Source organism: Homo sapiens, chromosome 5 (genome assembly GCF_000001405.40).
Source record: "Homo sapiens chromosome 5, GRCh38.p14 Primary Assembly".
NCBI lineage: Eukaryota > Metazoa > Chordata > Mammalia > Primates > Hominidae > Homo > Homo sapiens.
In genome coordinates, this window is record NC_000005.10 from 68,204,823 (window position 1) to 68,222,797 (window position 17,975).

At 43.4% G+C, this 17,975-nt stretch overlaps 1 protein-coding gene across 4 annotated transcripts in view, besides 2 other annotated features; it reads left to right on the plus strand.

Moving 5' to 3' along the window:
- Positions 10,111 to 10,330: a silencer, noted in NCBI's record as "silent region_16072". NCBI's record gives its function as "represses an Ori minimal core promoter by ATAC-STARR-seq in GM12878 lymphoblastoid cells {active_cell/tissue: GM12878}" and the evidence as "EXISTENCE:reporter gene assay evidence [ECO:0000049][PMID:35858748]".
- Positions 10,551 to 11,650: a silencer, noted in NCBI's record as "silent region_16073". NCBI's record gives its function as "represses an Ori minimal core promoter by ATAC-STARR-seq in GM12878 lymphoblastoid cells {active_cell/tissue: GM12878}" and the evidence as "EXISTENCE:reporter gene assay evidence [ECO:0000049][PMID:35858748]".
- Positions 10,934 to 17,975, plus strand: part of PIK3R1 (phosphoinositide-3-kinase regulatory subunit 1) — an 86,066-nt gene continuing 79,024 nt past the window's right edge. Inside the window, exon 1 of one of the 4 annotated variants that reach the window (XM_005248542.4) lies at positions 10,934 to 11,131. The gene's annotated coding sequence lies outside the window, so the exon portion shown is untranslated. Of the gene's footprint in view, positions 11,132 to 11,200; positions 12,977 to 17,975 lie in introns of those variants that run through there. The other 3 variants (NM_181523.3, XM_017009585.3, XM_047417315.1) reach the window with 3 other exon arrangements.

Sequence of the window (17,975 nt, forward strand, 5' to 3'; positions counted from 1 at the left end):
AAGAGTGAGTTCATGTTTATCAGGCAGTCCAGGGGAGAAGGTTCCTGGGATGGGGGATGAAACATTCTGCTCACTAGGAAGATGGACTCGCTTGGGTGACTGGGACACTTCAATAGGGTTTTCCAAAGCCAAGATGAAATATCCCTCAAGACTCTCCACCATCATTTACTCTGAATCTATGCTCTTTAAAAACAACTTATCAATGAATAATTCTGCTGCCAGGTTTTCCTAGTATTGGGAAGGGGGTTCTGTGAACACGATTTCAGGCTGCTATTCATGGAGGTACTGGCTGTGCACTGGACAAGAGCATCATATGAAAGGGAGCATCAGTCACAAGACAAACCTTGTAGATTTGAATATTTCTTATGACAACTTTCTGGCAGATATTAGAAAATTCTCATTGTACTTAACAAAATCAGTATTTCCTAATAATTTTCTGACTTGATGAAATTAGAACATCATGAGGAAGAAGAGCTTTATAGTTTTCTATTTTTCTTATGACTTCATTGAGATATAATTGATATATAATAAACTACACATATTTGAAGTGTACAATTTAATGAGTTTTGACATATGCAAATACTCAGGAAACTATAGCCTTCACCCCCAAAAGTCTCTGCGTGCCCTTTATAACTCAACCATCTTTTCACTCCTGCCTCATCCCAGTGAGGCATCAGAAACCCACTGGACTGCTTTCTGTTACAGATTAGTTTGGATTTTCTAGAATTTTATAAAAAATAAAACCAAGTTGTACATATACTGTTTTTCTTATCTTGTTTCTTTGTATTAACATCATAATTTTGATATTCATCCATGTTGTGTGTATCAATAGTTTGGGGTTTTCAGGGCTGTGGTTGTGAAGAAGATCAAGACCCATGATGGGAAGCTGGTATCCAAGTCCTCTGACGTCCTGCTCAAGTGAACAGCCACAGCAGCCCCTCCCAGCCTATCCTTCCTGCAGCTGCCCCAGAGCCCATGAGAAAAGCCACTGCGCAGGGGAGCACAGGGAACAGGAGACCCACCTGAGGCTCAGCCCTATCCCTAAGCCCACATAGGGGAGTTTACTCTCTGGGGCACCCCCCTTGCCCATGCCTCCAGCAACAAAACAATTCAATTGCTTTTTTTTTTTTTTTTTTTTGTCCAAAATAAAACCTCTGCTAGCTCTGGAAAAAAAAAAAACAAAAAGAAGTTTGGTGTTTTGTTTGTTTGTTTTTTTTTTTTGTTTGTTTTTTTTGTTTTTTTTTTTTGCCAAGTAGTATTCCACTGTATGGGAATACCATAATTTGTTTATTCTTTCACCTGTTAATGGACATTTCGGTTATTTACAGTTTGGGGCTACTAAAAATAAAACTCCCATGAATATATATCCACAAAATTTTGTATGGACACATGTTTTTATTTTTCTTGGGCAAATACACAGAAGTGGAATCACTGGATCTTACAGTGGATGTATGCTCAACTTTTAAATAAATGGCCAAACTGTTTTCTTCATTACATCATTTTACATTACCATCACCAGAGTTACAGAGTTGCACCTGTTCCATATCCTTGGCAACACTTGGTATTATCAACCTTTATAATTTTAGCCATTCTAATGGATATGTGGTCATATCTCACTGTGTTTTCTTTTTTAATTCAGAAAGTATTTATTGGGTACCTAGAGAATACAAAATAATGTCCCTAATATGGTTTGGCTCTGTATCCCCCACCCAAATCTCATCTCAAATTGTAATCCCCGAATGTTGAGAAAGGGACCTGATGGGAGGGGATGGGTTCATGGAGGCAGTTTTTCTCATGCTGTTCTCATGATAGTGAGAGAGTTCTCACTAGATCTGATGGTTTAAAAGTGTGGCACTTTCCCTTCATTTATGTTCTCTCTCTCTCTCTCTCGCTGCCTTTTGAAGTTGTGCCTTGCTTCTCCTTCACCTTCCACCATGATTGTAAGTTTCCTGAGGTGAGGCCTCCCTAGCCATGTAGAACTGTGAGTCAATTAAACCTCTTTCCTTTGTAAATTACCCAGTCTCTGGTATTATCTTTATAGCAGTGTGAAAACAGGATAATACATTCCCTTTATATATATTTGGCCCTTAATTATTTTTTAAATTTTTATTGAGTTAAAATATATAAGATAAAATTTGCCATTTTAACCATTTTAAGTGTACAATGTAGTGGTATTAATTACATTCACAATGCTGTTAAACATCACCACTATCTATTCCAAAATTGCTCATCTCAAACAGAAACTGTACCCATTAAGCAATAAATTCCCATTCCCACTCACCAAATCCCATAATCTCTATTTTCAGTCTCTATGAATTCATCTATTCTAGATATTTCACATAAGAAGACTCATACAATATCTGTCCTTTTATGACTGGTTTATTTCATTTAGCATAATATGTTCAAAGTGTATCCATGTTGTAGCATGTGTAACAACTTTCTTCCTTTTTATGGTTGGATAATATTCCTTTGTATAGATACACCACACTTTGTTTATCCATTCATGTTAATAAATACTTGGATTGTTTCCAACTTTTGTGTGTTGTTGAGTACTGCTGCTGTGAACATTGGCTTACAAGTATCTATTTGAGTCCCCTCTCATTATGATTTTAATTTGCATTTCCCTAATGACTAAAGATGTTGAGCTTCTATACATGAACTTGGTTGCCATCCATATATCTTTTTTCTTTTTTCAGAGACAGGGTCTCAGTCTATGGGCTACATTGGAGCGTAGTGGCTGAATCCTAGCTCACTGCAGTCTTGAACTCCTGGGCTGAAGCAATCCTCCTGCCTCAGCCTCCCAAGTAGCTAGGACTACAGGTGCATACCACCATACTCAGCTAATTCTTTCTTTCTTTTCTTTTTCTTTTTCTTTTTTTGAGTTGGAGTCTTGCCCTGTCGCCCAGGCTGAAGTGCAGTGGCATGATCTCGGCTCACTGCAAGCTCTGCCTCCCAGGTTCATGCCATTCTCCTGCCTCAGCCTCTGGAGTAGCTAGGACTACAGGTGCCCGTCACCACACCTGGCTAATTTTTTGTATTTTTACTAGAGATGGGGTTTCACCATGTTAGCCAGGATGGTCTCAATCTCCTGACCTCATGATCTGCCCTCCTCGGCCTCCCAAAGTGCTGGGATTACAGGCATGAGCCACCATGCCCGGCAGCTAATTCTTAAATTTATTTTATTTTTTGGAGATACAGGATCTTGCTATGTTGCCTAGGCTGGTGTTGAACTCCTGGCCTCAAGCAATCCTCCAGACTCTGCCTCCCAAAGCTCTAGGATTATAGGCTTGAGACACTGTTTTTGTTTGATTATTTGCTTTGTTTTGTTCCCCTGGCCCTGGAGTGCAGTGGCAAGATCTCAGCTCACTGTAGCCTCTGCCTCCCTCAAGCAATGCTCTCACCTCAGGCTCCTAAGTAGTGGGGACCACAGCCACATGCCACCACTCTCAGCTAATTATTGTATTTTGTGTAGAGACAGGGTTTTGCCGTGTTGGCCAGGTTGGTCCTAAACTCCCAGGCTCAAGCAGTCTGCCCACCTTGTGTTCCCAAAGTGCTGGGATTACAGGCATGAACCACCATACCCAGCCCTATATACCTTCTTTCATAAAGTGTTGTGCAAGTCTTTTGCCCATTTAAAAAAAACTGCAGTTTTTTTTTTTAAATTAAGTTGTAAGAGTTCCTAATGTATTTTAAATACAAGTTCTTTGTTGCATATGTATTTTGAAAATATTTTCTCCCACCGGGCGTGGTAGCTCATGCCTGTAATCCCAGCACTTTGGGAGGCTGAAGTAGACAGATCATGAAGTCAAGAGTTTGAGACCAGCCTGGCCAACATGGTGAAACCTTGTCTCTACTAAAAATAAAAAAATTAGCCAGGCATGGTAGCACGTGCCTGTAGTCCCAGTTACTTGGGAGGCTGAGGCAGGAAGACTGCTTGAACCTGGGAGGCAGAGGTTGCAGTGAGCCAAGATTGTGCCACTGCATTCCAGCCTGGGTGACAGAGTGAGACTCTGTTTCAAAAAAAGAAAACATTTTCTCCCAAGATAGGGCTTTTCATTGTCATGACAGTGTCTTTTGAAGATCAAAATTCTCAATTTTAATGAAAGGCCAATTCACTGATTTTGTTTTTTTCTTAAGCTCAAGCTTTTTTGGTCCTGATATTTAAGAAATCTTTTCCAAACCTTTTTTTTTTTTTAATTTTTTGAAGTATTGTGTTAGCTCTTAAATTTAGGTCTATGATCCATTTTAAGTTAATTTTTTATATGGTAGGCTATAAGGGTCAAGATTTATTTTGCCTCGCATATGGCTTTCCAGTTGTTTCATGCTCACAGATGTTTTGGCACCACTTGCAGATTGGCTTAATGGGTGGTCCTGTTGATCTGTTTCCAGATCTGGCTCTGACTTACCAGACCCTCAGAAGGATGATCTAGACAGCATTTGCATTCTATTGTTTCAACTGCCACAAATGTAAGAAACTGGTGTCAAGTTTCCTTTCACCCTTCAGACCTTTCTCCCTTACTGAGTGCCCATGATGTACCAGGAAGTCTGATAGCTGCTGTATTTTATACAAAAATAAAAATTCGCTCTTGCTTTCAAGCAAATAGCACAGAAATCTTCTACATTTCATATTTTATCAACTCAACTGGGATAATTGTATTTTAATTTTTTTCAGGTGAGTTTTTTTTTTGCAGGTGATTTTGGGATCAGATATTGAGTAAAATTGATCTGAAACTATAACTCATGAGGCTCATTTACTTCCATTCTATACTGGTTGACTTATTTTCAGAGTCTTATTCCTGAAGTATGAGGACTGAAGAGCTAAAAGAGAAAAAAATCCCTAGAGCATACATTATGATAAGAGACCTTTGAGTACAGGTGATTGTAATCTGACTTGCTCTCTGGGATACATTAAAGTTTCCTCTCCTTCTAATGCTTCAACATGAATAACAGCTTGAAAAAGCTCAGAAACAACAGAATGGGAATTACAGTACTGTTGGTCTTCTGAATTCTTACTATGGTAGTATATTTGCCCATTTTCATGCTGCTAATAAGGATGTACCCAAGACTGGATAATTTATAAAGGAAAAGAGGCTTAATGGTCTCAGAGTTCCACATGGTTGGGGAGGTCTCGCAATCATGGCAGAAGGTGAAAGGCACATCTTACATGGTGGCAGGTAAAGGTAGAATGAGAGCCAAGCGAAAGGGGAAACCCCTTATAAAACCATCAAATCTTGTGAGACTTATTCACTACCACGAGAACAGTATGGGGGAAACCACCCCCGTGATGTAATTATCTCCCACTGCGTCCCTCCCACAACATGTGGGAATTATGGGAGCTATAATTCAAAATGAGATTTGGGTGGGGACACAGCCAAACCATATCATTCAACCCCTGGCCCTTCCCAAATCTTATGTCCTCACATTTCAAAACCAACAGTGCCTTCCCAACAGTCCCCCAAAGTCTCAATTCATTTCAGTATTAACTCAAAAGTCCACAGTCCAAAGACTCACCTGAAAGAAGGCCAGTCCCTTCTGCCTATAAGCCTGTAAAATCAAAAGTAAGTTAGTTACTTCCTAGATTACAATGGAAGTACAGGCATTGGATAAATACACCCATACCAAATGGGAGAAATTGGTCAAAGCAAAGGAGCTAAAGGCCCCACGCAAGTCTGAAATCCACCAGGGCAGTCAAATCTTAAAGCTCCAAAATGATCTCCTTTGACTCCGTGTCTCACATACAGGTCATGCCGATATAAGAGGTGGGCTCCCATGGTCTTGGGTAGCTCCACCCTTGTGGCTTTGCAGGGTACAGTCTCACTCTCGGCTGATTTCATGGGCTGGCATTCAGTGTCTGTGGCTTTTCCAGGTGCACGGTGCAAGCTGTCGGTGGATCTACCATTCTGGGGTCTGGAGGACAGTGGCCCTCTTCTCACAGCTCCACTAGGTGGTGCCCCAGTAGGAACTCTGTGTGAGGACTCCAACCCCACATTTCCCTTCTGTACTGCCTTAGCAGAGGTCCTTCATGAGGGCCCCACCCCTGCAGCAAACTTCTGCCTTGACATCCAGGCCTTTCCATACATCCTCTGAAATCCGGGCAGAGGTTTCCAAACCTCAATTCTTGACTTCTCTGCACCCACAGGCCCAACCATGTGGAAGTTGCCATGGCTTAGGGCTTGCACCCTCTGAAGCCACAGCCCAAGCTGTACCTTGGCCCCATTTAGCCACGGTTGGAGCAGCTGTGGAAAAGGTCTCTGGCAAGCCCTAGAGACATTTTCCCCATTATCTTGGTGATTAACATTTAGTGCCTTGTTACTTATGCAAATTTCTGCAGCCAGCTTGAATGTCTCCTCTGAAAATGGGTTTTTCCTTTCTATCACATCAGGTTGCAAAATTTCTGAACTTTTATGATGTGTTTCCCTTTTAAAACTGAATGCTTTTAACAGCACCCAAGTCACCTCTTGAATGGTTTGCTGCTTAAACATTTCTTCTGCCAGGTACCCTAAATCTTCCCCCTCAAATTTGAAGTTCCACAAATCTCTAGGGTGGGCCAAAATGCCACCAATCTCTTTGCTAAAACATAGCAAGAGTCATCTTTACTCTAGTTCTCAAGTTCCTTATCTATATCTGAGACCACCTCAACCTGGACCTCATTGTTAATATCACTATCAGTATTTTTGTCAAAGCCATTCAACAAGTCTCTAGAAAGTTCCAAACTTTCCCACATTTTCCTGTTTTCCTCTGAGCCCTCCAAGCTGTTCCAACCTCTGCCTGTTACCCAGTTTCAAAGTCACTTCCACATTTTCAGGTATCTTTACAGCAGCACCCCACTGCTGCTGTAATAATTTACTGTATGAGTCTGTTTTCATGCTGCTGATAAAGACATACCTGAGACTGGGTAATTTATAAAGGAAAAGATGTGTAATGGACTTAGAGTTCCATGTGGCTGGGGAGGCCTCACAATCATGGCAGAAGGAGAAAGGCACGTCTTACACGGTGGCAGGCAAAGAGAGAATGAGCGCCAAGTGAAAGGGGAAACCCTTTATAAAACCATCAGATCTTGTGACACTTACTCACTACCATGAGAACAGTATGGGGGAAACTGCCCTCATGATTCACTGATCTCCCACCAGGCTTCTCTCACAACATGAAGGCATTATAGGAGCTACAACTCAAGATGAGATTTGGGTGGGGACACAGCCAAACCATATCAGGTAGTAAGTATTCCAGTCAATAATTTTTTCATGTTTCTCTTAATATGTAATTAACCTGCATAACTCACAATAGGTGCAGATTTTAATCTAAGTAATGCAAAGATTCATTCTACTTTCCCACCCCCAACACATCAGTTAGCAGGCAGGAGAAAGAGAAAATAAAAATATTGCATAGAAGACCATAGTGTTTTGCCCCAGGGTTGCAAGCATTGATATCTCACCCATTACCAATTCCCAGTCATTGAATGCCTACAGTGTTTGGTTCTGTTAGAGAACAGAACATTTAAAACACTTGACTCTTTAGATCATGAGGCTTACATTCCAAGAAGCCAGTACTCTTCTTGGGTGATTTTTTTTTCCCACTTTATTTTATGATGTGCAGCATCATAACATCACACTAACCTAACCCACATTTCAAAAAAATCACACGAATGTGGCCTAACCTATATTTCTAAAAAAGGTTGAATTCATTGCCAGCATTCAATAATTGGAAAATAGTCCATAAAAATCTGTATTTTCAGCTTCTCTAGGAAAATTGGAAAATTTGGGCTCACATTCCTGTGCGGCAACAATTAGCTAAACTCTAGTTCAGCTGCCCGCTTTAAGACCAGCCATTTGTACTCTACTGTACCCAGAGGGCTTTCCTAATAGCGCCTTTCTTAAGTGGCTCCTCCAAAGCAGTGGTTCCTAAAATCTGGCTTCCCACTGGAATAATGTGAGGAGCTTGAAAAGTTACTAATGCCTGCATTTCACCCCAGAGATTTTGATGTAATCCATCTGGGGTGCAGACCAGGTATTGAGATTTTTATAAGCTCCTCAGGTATTTGCAATGTGTAGAGAAAACTGAGAACCCCTGTCTAAGATAGGGCTTCTCAAAGTTTAACTTGCATAGGAATCACCTGATAATCTTGTTAAAATGCAGATTTTGATTAAGTATGCCTGGGATAGGGCCTGGGATTCTGCCTTTCTAACAAGCTCTTACATAGTGCCAAAGCTGCTGGTCTATGGGCCTCACTTGAGAAGTAAAGGTCTAAGCCATTTGTATTTCACATTGGCTTTGAACCCTAAGATACATTCTTAGGTTTCAAGTCTAATGAAAGCTAATTCTAGCACTCACAATATTGATGTAGCTGGAATGATGATGCCAAATGAGAGTATCCTACCATACTTTGGGGAGAATTCTTTCTCAGCCTATAGCTACTCAGCCTTTCTTGACATTGGGGGGTCCTTGACTTCTTATGCCTTGTATGTGACACCCCTGTATCACCCCTTTCGTTGCAAATTGTACATCTTCTGCTATTTCGAGCTCCTTGCTGGTGTCACTACCTGCTGGCCAACAGTTTGGCCATTACTGATTGAACCATGGTGTTTGGGTACTTAATGTGAGTATTTTATTGCAGAGGTTTTCAATCAGTGTTTCCAGAAGCCTTAGAGTAATAGTTCTGAAACCATAGGGCATGCATCAGATCACTTGGAGAGCTTATTAAAATACAGATTGCTAGGCTCCACCCTCAGCATTCCTGATTCAGTGAGGACAATTTGAATTTCCAACAAATTCTCAGGAGATCCAGATGTTTCTAGTCCAAGGATCCAGAGGTTCTAGACAGAAGGAAGGGAGGTGGTGCAATGGGCCTCTTGGTCTTGTTACATGACTTCTTATCTTATAGTTGTATTTGGGGATTCTAGACTAGATTTTATTAAATAAAAAGATTATTTTTAAAAAAGCTTGAATACTGCTGTTTTGTTGCCTTTGCTTTTGTTTCATAGAAATCAATTGAAGGTGAAAATAAATAAAAATGCTAATACTAGTGATATGGGGAGATATCATCAGTTTAAAACAAATGAAATACTGAATTTATTTAGTATATGAAAAGAGAGCCTTATTTTCTTCCCTTGGGACACTCTTTATGATGAAAAAACGTAAAGGAAATACAATGTATGCTGGAAATAAATTACTAAAGACTGTGTCTAAATGAGGAGGTGCATTTGGGAATTTTATTGTTTTTAGGTTTGCGGGTGAACAGAATCCCACTGCAATAGTGCATAAGACTCTTTCCAGCTATCTCCAGAAGAAGGAGATAACTAGCAAGGTTTTCACTGTTAGAGTTTGTTCAGAGCGGAACCTAAAGGAAATACTGGGAAGGTCACAGCAGTTTCATCTCAGCTTATTGGATTGGATCAAAGTAATTCTACTGCAAGGCAAGGTATATCATTCCATTTACAGACAGAGAATGCATGAAGTCCTTCATTTCACACAGTAGGTGTGAAGAAGGTACCTTGGTAAATTTCCTATTTGCTTTCAGATAAAGTGTATTCTTAAACATGATGTGGGTAGCTGCCTGTTTTTGTGTCGCCTCTGCAAGAGACATCTTGGAATAATAGAAACACCAGTGTCTGAATAGCCTAAAGTGGAGCTTACTTTTCTGTTAGGTGAGTCACCTTTAAAAATGATATTTTTTAAGGATAAGCGATGAATTTTAGGACGTTCTTCCCTCTACTTCCAACGTCCACAAGAATAAACCACCAAATTCAACGTTTTACAGAGGCCAAGTGCTTAGGTTTTGTGTGTTTGTTTTTAAGAGTTTTCTTGCAAGGAAACTGGGAGGGAACTATAAAAGGGCTTTAGGCAAACAGGGTGGGCGGGTGCAGGGCTTTAAGCTGCAGAAAGGAGAATCTGGAAAGAGCTTTTAGGAAGCAGATTCTCACATGTTTTAATATGAAAGAGTGGCACACGTGGTGCTGGCATTCCATCTTACCATCAGTGGAAGGTTTGAACCAACATCAAATTTTTCTGGAGCAACTTAGGTAATTATTACTTGAAGAATATGCATTTCAAAACTAACACCTTTAAGAGACAATGTAATTCACCTGCGCTTCCCCGCCCCCCCCGCCCGCGCCAACCCCACCCCCCGCCAACCCCGCCCCCGACTCCGCGAACGCCGAGGGGCCCGTGGTCTGCCTGAGTGACCTCCATTTGCTCTGTCATCTCAGGACTAGAAGCCATCAGCCAGCGTACGCCCTCAGAAAACTCTCTTCCCTTCTCGCGGGTCCGCCTGGCTCCCGGAGGCGGCGGTGCCAGGCTGCCGGAGTTAGCCAGCGGCAGGCTGCGGGCGCCCGTCCCTCCGGTTCACCCTTTCACCCCTCCTTCACCCCCGGAGCGCCAGGCGGGTGCCGCGGGTTTTCCGCCCACTCGGAAGGCAGTGCTGGCGAGACCAGGAATTGCAGGGCCTCTCCGCTTTGGCGAGCTCTGGAATCCGAGTCCTCCCCACCCCAGCCACTCTGCTGGGGCGCTAGGGGCTCGAAAAAGCCTGGGGTTGGCTGAAAGACACTCGGATTAGAGACGCAGCCAGCCTCCAGGGAGGTCTGAACTTGTCTTCGACCTCCCCGAACCCCTCCGCCTCTGCGCTGGGAGACGCCCAGCAGCCGGGCGGGCCCGGGACGTGTAGAGCCAGAGCACTCCGCAGCGGAGGCAGCGCGCGGCACGGCCGCCCGGGGCATCCCCGCGGCTGGGGGGCGGAAGGCGAGGGCGGTGGCAGGAAGGGTCCGCCAGGCCTGAGCTCGCTCCCCCACTGCCAGCCGCCGGCTCGGAGGCCCGAGCCGTGCGGACGGAAAGGGGCGGAGCCGCGGGCTCTGGTTGGTGTGGGCTCGGGGGCGGGGCGCGCGGGGCCGGGCCGGAGGCGGGGCTAGCGCCGGGCGCTGGAGCTGCGGGCGCACGGAGAGGAGTCGCCAGCAGCTGGAGCGGAGTTGGAGGAAGCAGCGGCAGCGGCGAGGGCGGCAGGCTAGCTGTCGGAGACGGCAAGCACGGATCGGGCACGGCCGGCGGGTCGCAGCCGGGCTGGAGGCCGGTCGGAACCGAGCGGGCAGGAGGCCACCGCTGCAGCGCGGGCCCCGCAGAGGAAGGAAGCCGGCGGGCGGGGTAGGTAGGCAGCAGCAGCCCCGGGTGTGTGTGCTCGGGCGGGGGAGGCGGTGCATGTGTGCACGGCTGCCGCGACTCTCTTCCTGTCACTGGCAGCGGCTTCTCCTTCTGCAGAGCCCCGCCGGGGGGAAGCGGGCTGGCCACCGGCCCTCCCCGCCTCCGGCATCTCCTGGCCGCCGGGCAGCACTACCCCCGCGCGCGGCCGGCGTCCTGTGAGATCCCCGCCATCCTGACTCCCGTTTCCCCCGTCCTCCTGCGAGCTGGTCCTGCACGCCGCCGGTCGCATTTGCCCCCGGAGTTGCCGACGAGCTCGGGCTTCCTCCCACCCTCCGTCACCGCACACTTCGGAGGGTCCCCGCTGTCGCCTTGCTGCAGTTTTCCGGGGCCCCTCACCGGAGGAGAGCGCCCTGGCCGCTGCCTTCGTGTTGCGGGAAGGAGCGCTCCCTTCCCCCGTGGCCCTCCAGCTGCAGCCAGGGTCGCTGCCCGGGCCCTTCCCGGGGCGGGCGAGGCGGCGGTGGTCCCCGGAGCTCGTCCCCTAACCCCCGCCTTCCGAAGTTTGCCGCCCTCCTCTTCCGGGGTGGGGGAAGTGCGCCTCGGGGCGGTTGGTCGCTGGGGCCCTAACTCAGCGTTTATTGCCAGCCAAGCTTGGGCAGGTTGTTGGAGGCATATTTAGTGGGGTCTTGGAACCGCCCGGAAATCCAGCTTTTGGAACGTGGGGCGAGGCGGGAGGGACCTGCCCAGCAATATGGAGCCGGCTGGGGAGAGCCAGGGAGCCTGCAACCCGGAGCTAAAATATCGTGGGCAATTCTCTGGAAACCACAGCTCTAACCTAAGCTCAGAAACTGCCCCTCAGATCACAAGACAAAGAGAACAGAAAACCTCTGGCCAGGCACTCCTGTACAGAAATACACTTTGATAACCAGAATTGGAGCCTGAAATGCAAGGATATATGCAGAATGGCTGTTACGTGTTGAATGCAGAATGTGTGTCAACTGGGTTTGGGGGAATTCTTCTGTTTCCCGGGGCGCTATTAATATCGGAAAGGTCTCACTTCCACCGTTAATCCCTTGAGCTGCAGCGCTGTTGGTGTCCGAGTGTGAGTCTGCTCTTTATTTGGGGGCTTCATGATTTTAGGTTTTTTTTCTTTTTTCTCTTCTTTTCCTCTTTGTCAGCCAGTGCGAAGTACCAATGGATAAAGCAGTTCCGGGTTTTGAATGCAACATAAGATTGTCATTTTGGTGTGATGAGGCTCAAGTTTTAGTAATCAGGAGGGATATTCACAGAGCTTATTGGTCAAGGCTTGATGTGGAGTTATATTTTAATGCTTCATTAGTTCTGTTACGTTTTGGCAACCTTAAAGATGGTTAGATATTAGCTAGGAAGGGTTGGAGTGGGCAGACAGGTTCATTTCTTAAGCAGGTTATTAGAATATTAGATTGTCACAGTTTGAATTACTAGGAATTTGGTGACTTCTGCACAGAAGGCCACAAGTATCTTTTAACATTGAAAAAGGAAGAAAAAGCAACTCACTAGCTATACAACTTTTTGACAGATTACACTGTTCTTGAAAAACCGTTTAGAAGAAAGCAGATAAGAGTTTTCTTAGGTGCAAAAGTTGATTAAACTTTAGGAAGCAAGTGTTTTTGACCAGTATAAAGAAAATAAGAGTAATGTGTGGGGGTGTGTGTGTGTGTGTGTGTGTGTGCGCGCGCGTGCCTGCGGCTAAAGTTTGGGAAGAAATGTTGGTTCAGAGTTAAGGTTTAAGTTGGAAAGGCCAGTGGAGGAGGCTCCCTGCCTTGCAGAACTGCTGGGTATTGTCACTGCTTGCCTCTTCAGCTTTTATATGCAGGTAGGTACTAGATAATCATATTACTTTTTCCAGAGAAGTGGATAGATTTTTATGATTGGGAGAAAGTTTAATGTATCTGATACTGGCTTGCAAAGTGTAATGTGCATTTACTTTTAACTTTCATCTTGACTTGGGACCTGTTCTTAGTTGCATAACAGAACTCTGCAGTGTACACACTGCTATTTGATGTTTTATCTGCTTTTTAAAAATAATGATATCAGTGAGTCTCTTCCTATCCATGATGCTGTATAGTCAGTGTAAAAAGCATTTTGTTTCCCATTTATTGAATGTTTTTTCTTTAGCGATTTCTTGAGTTTAAATATACTAAGCGCAGGAAATCCTCACAGAATAAAGTTGGTTCTGGGAAACAGAAGTGGAACAATAAGTTATAGGAATACATATTTTGATTATAGACAGTGATGATGGTGGTATGCGTTTATCTTTTGGTAATGTCAGTTTCACCTAACGTGATTTTTGAAGGACTTTGAATTGTAAATGCAAACCTACTCAAACTAACCCAAATTTTGTACTGTTAAAAGTTTTGGCCATTTCTTTACATTTTTCCATGACTGTCATATAATTTTTAGGTTGATATGTTGATTGAACATATCAACCTAAATTGATATGTTCAATCAACATATTGGTCGTTCAGGGGAGTATTGTAAAAAGGCATCTACTCTGAAAGATTGTTCACATGATCATTAAAATAGGAACAATTCTAGTTCAGCTTTTATTGTGTTTGCATTTTGTGATTTGCAAAATACATGTTTTATTGAATAAAGAGATGGTGAATGAGCAGGCTGAAAAAAAATTGATTTTTATGCTCAAGTAGAATATAGCCAGTTGAGATAATGTTTGTGTTGGGTTTTGGAATTCTCTCACGTCAAGGCATACACAATGCAAAAGATATTGTATGTTTCATATGAGCTCCTCCAGCTCTCCCTCTTGCAGGGCACAGGGTTTGCAAGTGAAGGCAAGAGAATGAAGCATTTTAATGAAGCCCTGGAAGACTAGAAAGTTAGTTATCAATGGAAGGAATTATCAAGTTAGTTTTTACTTTAGAAAGCAGAATATAAATTATATCACAGCTTTTTATCAAAACCTAGGTTTTAATTAATTTTCAAAGTATTCATATCATTTACTGCATTTTCCCATGCCTCCTTTACGTACACCCTAATGCCCTAATGTGATTACTTGCCATGATTCTGCCAATACTTGTATGGAGTTACTTGCTTAAAAGAGTGGCAATTAACGACCATTTCATGTACATTAAGCCACATGAGCTGAAAAAATAGACTATATAGTTACTTATAAACTTGTCTGTATGGCCTTTATTTATCCCCTAGGTGTTAGGTGTTTATTTATTTGAAAGGCTAGAGTGATTGTAGTATAGTGTTATTGGAAAAAATGTCTACTGTAGAAACATCTTTGGAGATTTTATTCTGCTAGCATTGTTTTCCTTAAAGTAAATCAAATACATATCCACAGGCACCTGTAGTCAAAATAGTTGTCAGGTTAATGATCATCCAAGAGAGTATTGAAGTCACAGGAGTCTGGCCACAGTGTGAGGAGGCTCCACCAGTGAGTGTAGTGAGTTAATAAAGCCAAGGCATCTGGACCAGCCATTCCTTGCCTGTTGTCTTCCTCCCCGGATGTCCCAGTGTCCCAGCCTGGGGTTCTGCCCCAGGATCAAGGGCTGTACCATGAGGACACAGCTACTCATCTCTAAATCCTGGGGATGCACACACACATGTACACATCCCTTGGCCTCTCCCAGGCCTCCTTTGTCCTGACCTCTGTAGAGCCGTCCTCTACCTCAGGTAAGGAGAGAACTACATGGGCAAAGTCCACACTCAGCCTTTATCTATTTACTCCAAAAGGGGTTTAAGACAGCGGGAGTTTTATTTTAGCTAGATTCAGGATTCACTTAGAACTGTTTGCAGAGTTAAGAGGCAATGCAGAAGAAAATCCCTCATAAATGTTTGTTCCTCTGTTAAATCTGAATTGTATAAATGGCAGTAGGTGACATTCAATACTAATAGAAATAATAGTAATATAATAGTTGCAATTTACTAGCTATGTAACTTTAGGCAAAATATTTAACTTTTATCTGCTTGTTTTCTCATCTGTAAAATAGAGATAATTGTTGTACTTAGAGTGATTGTAATGGTTAAATGAGTTGATATATGTACAACTCTGAGAACTATGTGCCTGGCACATAGTAAGTACTATGTTGGCATTAATTATCCTAAGCTCCTATTATCAAGTATGGAGCGAAGTGCTTTATGTATGTCATTTTGTTAATCCTCATAATGACTCTGTGGGCTGTAGGTTTGCTTATAGCTGTCTCACAGATGATAAAACTGTGCCACAGAGAGGTTTAAGTAACTTTCCTGAGGTTACATATTTAGGCACAATCTGACTGGGGCAGCTGCCTGAATCTGAAGCTCAGTGTTCATACTAACCTTGCCAAGAAGTTTACAGAATAGCATCTTTTTTTCAAAAGAAGAGAGACTTGAAGTCATCCCCTTCAGTCCTCTCATTCCTGCCCCCTCAGGTCCTCTTCATTGTGATGATGCAGAGAACCGGAATGGTCAGCCTCATGGCCTTTTCTGGGTGATAGGATCTGTCTGTCCCTCAGGTCCCAGAAGCTACGTCACCCTTTCTCCCAGCCTCCGCGTAATGGCTACTGCGTGCCTAAGCGTTGCTGTCACCTGGGCCAGGGTCATTCCTCTGTGTTTCCTGCAGTACCTTCCCCTCATGTTGGCTGCTTTCTGAAGAGCCCTAGCTCCTTGTTGTGTTACCTGGGCTTGTGCTACCTGTTCTCCTCTCCCTCGCCCCACAAACACAACACCAAAAGGGCTTGTAGGCGAGAATTACAGCCTATACAGCCTGTTTACCCACACCACACACCCAGCCCTGAGCATGGCAGCATGCAACACATTCTATTTAGTTGGTTGGTTTGGAAATGAATTTGATGTCTATTATTTGGGGTTAATCTCAGCCCATTATTTTCATTTTATTTTAATTGATATAAAGTCCACATACCATAAAATTCACCCTAAATTCATCATTTCAAATTGAAGGCAATTTATTATGTTTACTAGGTGCTCTGGGTTGAATGTGTCCCCCAGAGTTTACATGTCAGAAATGTAATCCCTAATGCAACTGTGTTGGGAGGTAGGGCCTAATAGGAGGCTGTGCTCTCTTGAATGGATTAATGTCATTATGGCAAGAGTAGATTAGTTATCTTGGGAATGGGCTTGTTATAAACTCGAGTTTGGCCCTGTCTTGCTGTCTTGCCCTTGCAAGAGGACATAAGATGAAGGCCTTCACCAGATGCTAGTGCCATGCTCTTGGACTTTCCAGCCTCCAGAACCAAATATACTTCTGTTGTTTATAAATTACCCAGTCTCAGGAATTCCATTATAACAACACAAAATGGACTAAGACACTAGGATATTTTAATTTTGTTCGTCTTGATTTTCATGATTTCTGGGACACCATGATTTGGAAGGTAAACCATTTTTAAATAATGATTTTTTTAAAGACTGTATGAATTTAGGTGAGGAGCTTGACCTAGACTCTGAACTAGCACACTGAAGTTAAAAAGATGGACTGTAGAGAGATATGGGCTGTGGGCCCAGGAACCCTTCCATACCCTCCTGCCTTGGTTGAAGACCCATTTCGTGCTGCCATCCAATGCCTAACTGCTAATTTCATTGGGAGATAGAATCACATGACTTGGATATATTCTTGATTAATTTAATGTGATTTAAAAATATCCTGTATTCCTGCCTGTCCATCAAGTTCTCCAAATTCTTGTCATTTCTAAATGGAGAATGGAGTAACTCAACAAAGTCAGAGAGGGCTTTTTTGTTTGGCTCTTTGCCAAAATGCCTATAGGTTAGAGGGTTACACAGAAAATCTACTTTACAGCAGTTGTACGTTAAGTAGCTGTGGATTGCTATTTGTCAAACATCAGAAACAATTTTATTTTGGGGAATAGAAAGAGAATTTCTCTGTATGTTAGCAGGGACAGAAAATATGCTTCTGATTAATGGGATTGCAGGCAGTCATTAGAAGGATTGAAAGACTGGAGAAAAATTCCTTAAAATTTTGAACTGTTGCATATGATATTATATAAGAGTAAGTTAGTTTACTTGTTCGTAGGATTCCTTTATACCCTTTGTTACAATAACTTATGCATGCACTAGCTTGGAGCCTATATCACAAAACTGCCTTGGTTATTTGAAAATATTACATTGTAGATAATGTTATCTACATATAAAAAGCCTTTGCTATGTGAATAATCATGTCAGAACTGGGTAAAAATAGTTTAGTGGGCAGGTATATGTAGCAAAAGAGAATAGAGGCATGATAGAGTGAATCTGAGGAAAAATCCTGTTGATTTGGATAGTTTAGGCTCCAGGTCGATCTCGGTAGGGGTGGTGGTTACACAGGTATTACCAAATACCTCAGGCTGCTGGGTCTTCTGCAGTACTGTGAAGAATTTGAGGATGAGAGAAAAGAGAACTTCCCAGTCCTCTAGATGTGACAGTCCTTGTGGCAGTGCCATATCCCCCTAAGGAGGAGCTGGGTTATTGGAAATTGTTCAGTGGAGGGGCCTGGGATAGTGGCAGGAGGCAGAGGTGCTAAGGATACAGGTGGCAGAAGCGAAGCTCATAGAGCAGAAATAGGCAGGATTCCAGAAGTGGGCAGCCTTCCAGAAGTGGTGTGCCCAGTATTCTTTTATTCACTAGTTTATGGACTTCTTTCGCAGGGACACATTTTAATGAAGTCTCTTTGGAAGAAAATTTGCATGGCTGAGATGCTGGGTTTTGGAGTTGATGGAACTGCCGAGTTAAAATAGCTTTTTTGTGTGTGCAGGTAGTGTGAAAGAGCCACATACACTATCAGTAAAGCCGCTGTCTGAGAGAGTTAAAGAGGCAGACAGACAGTTAAGGTTAATTGGAGTGATCAGCTTGTGCAGGCCACG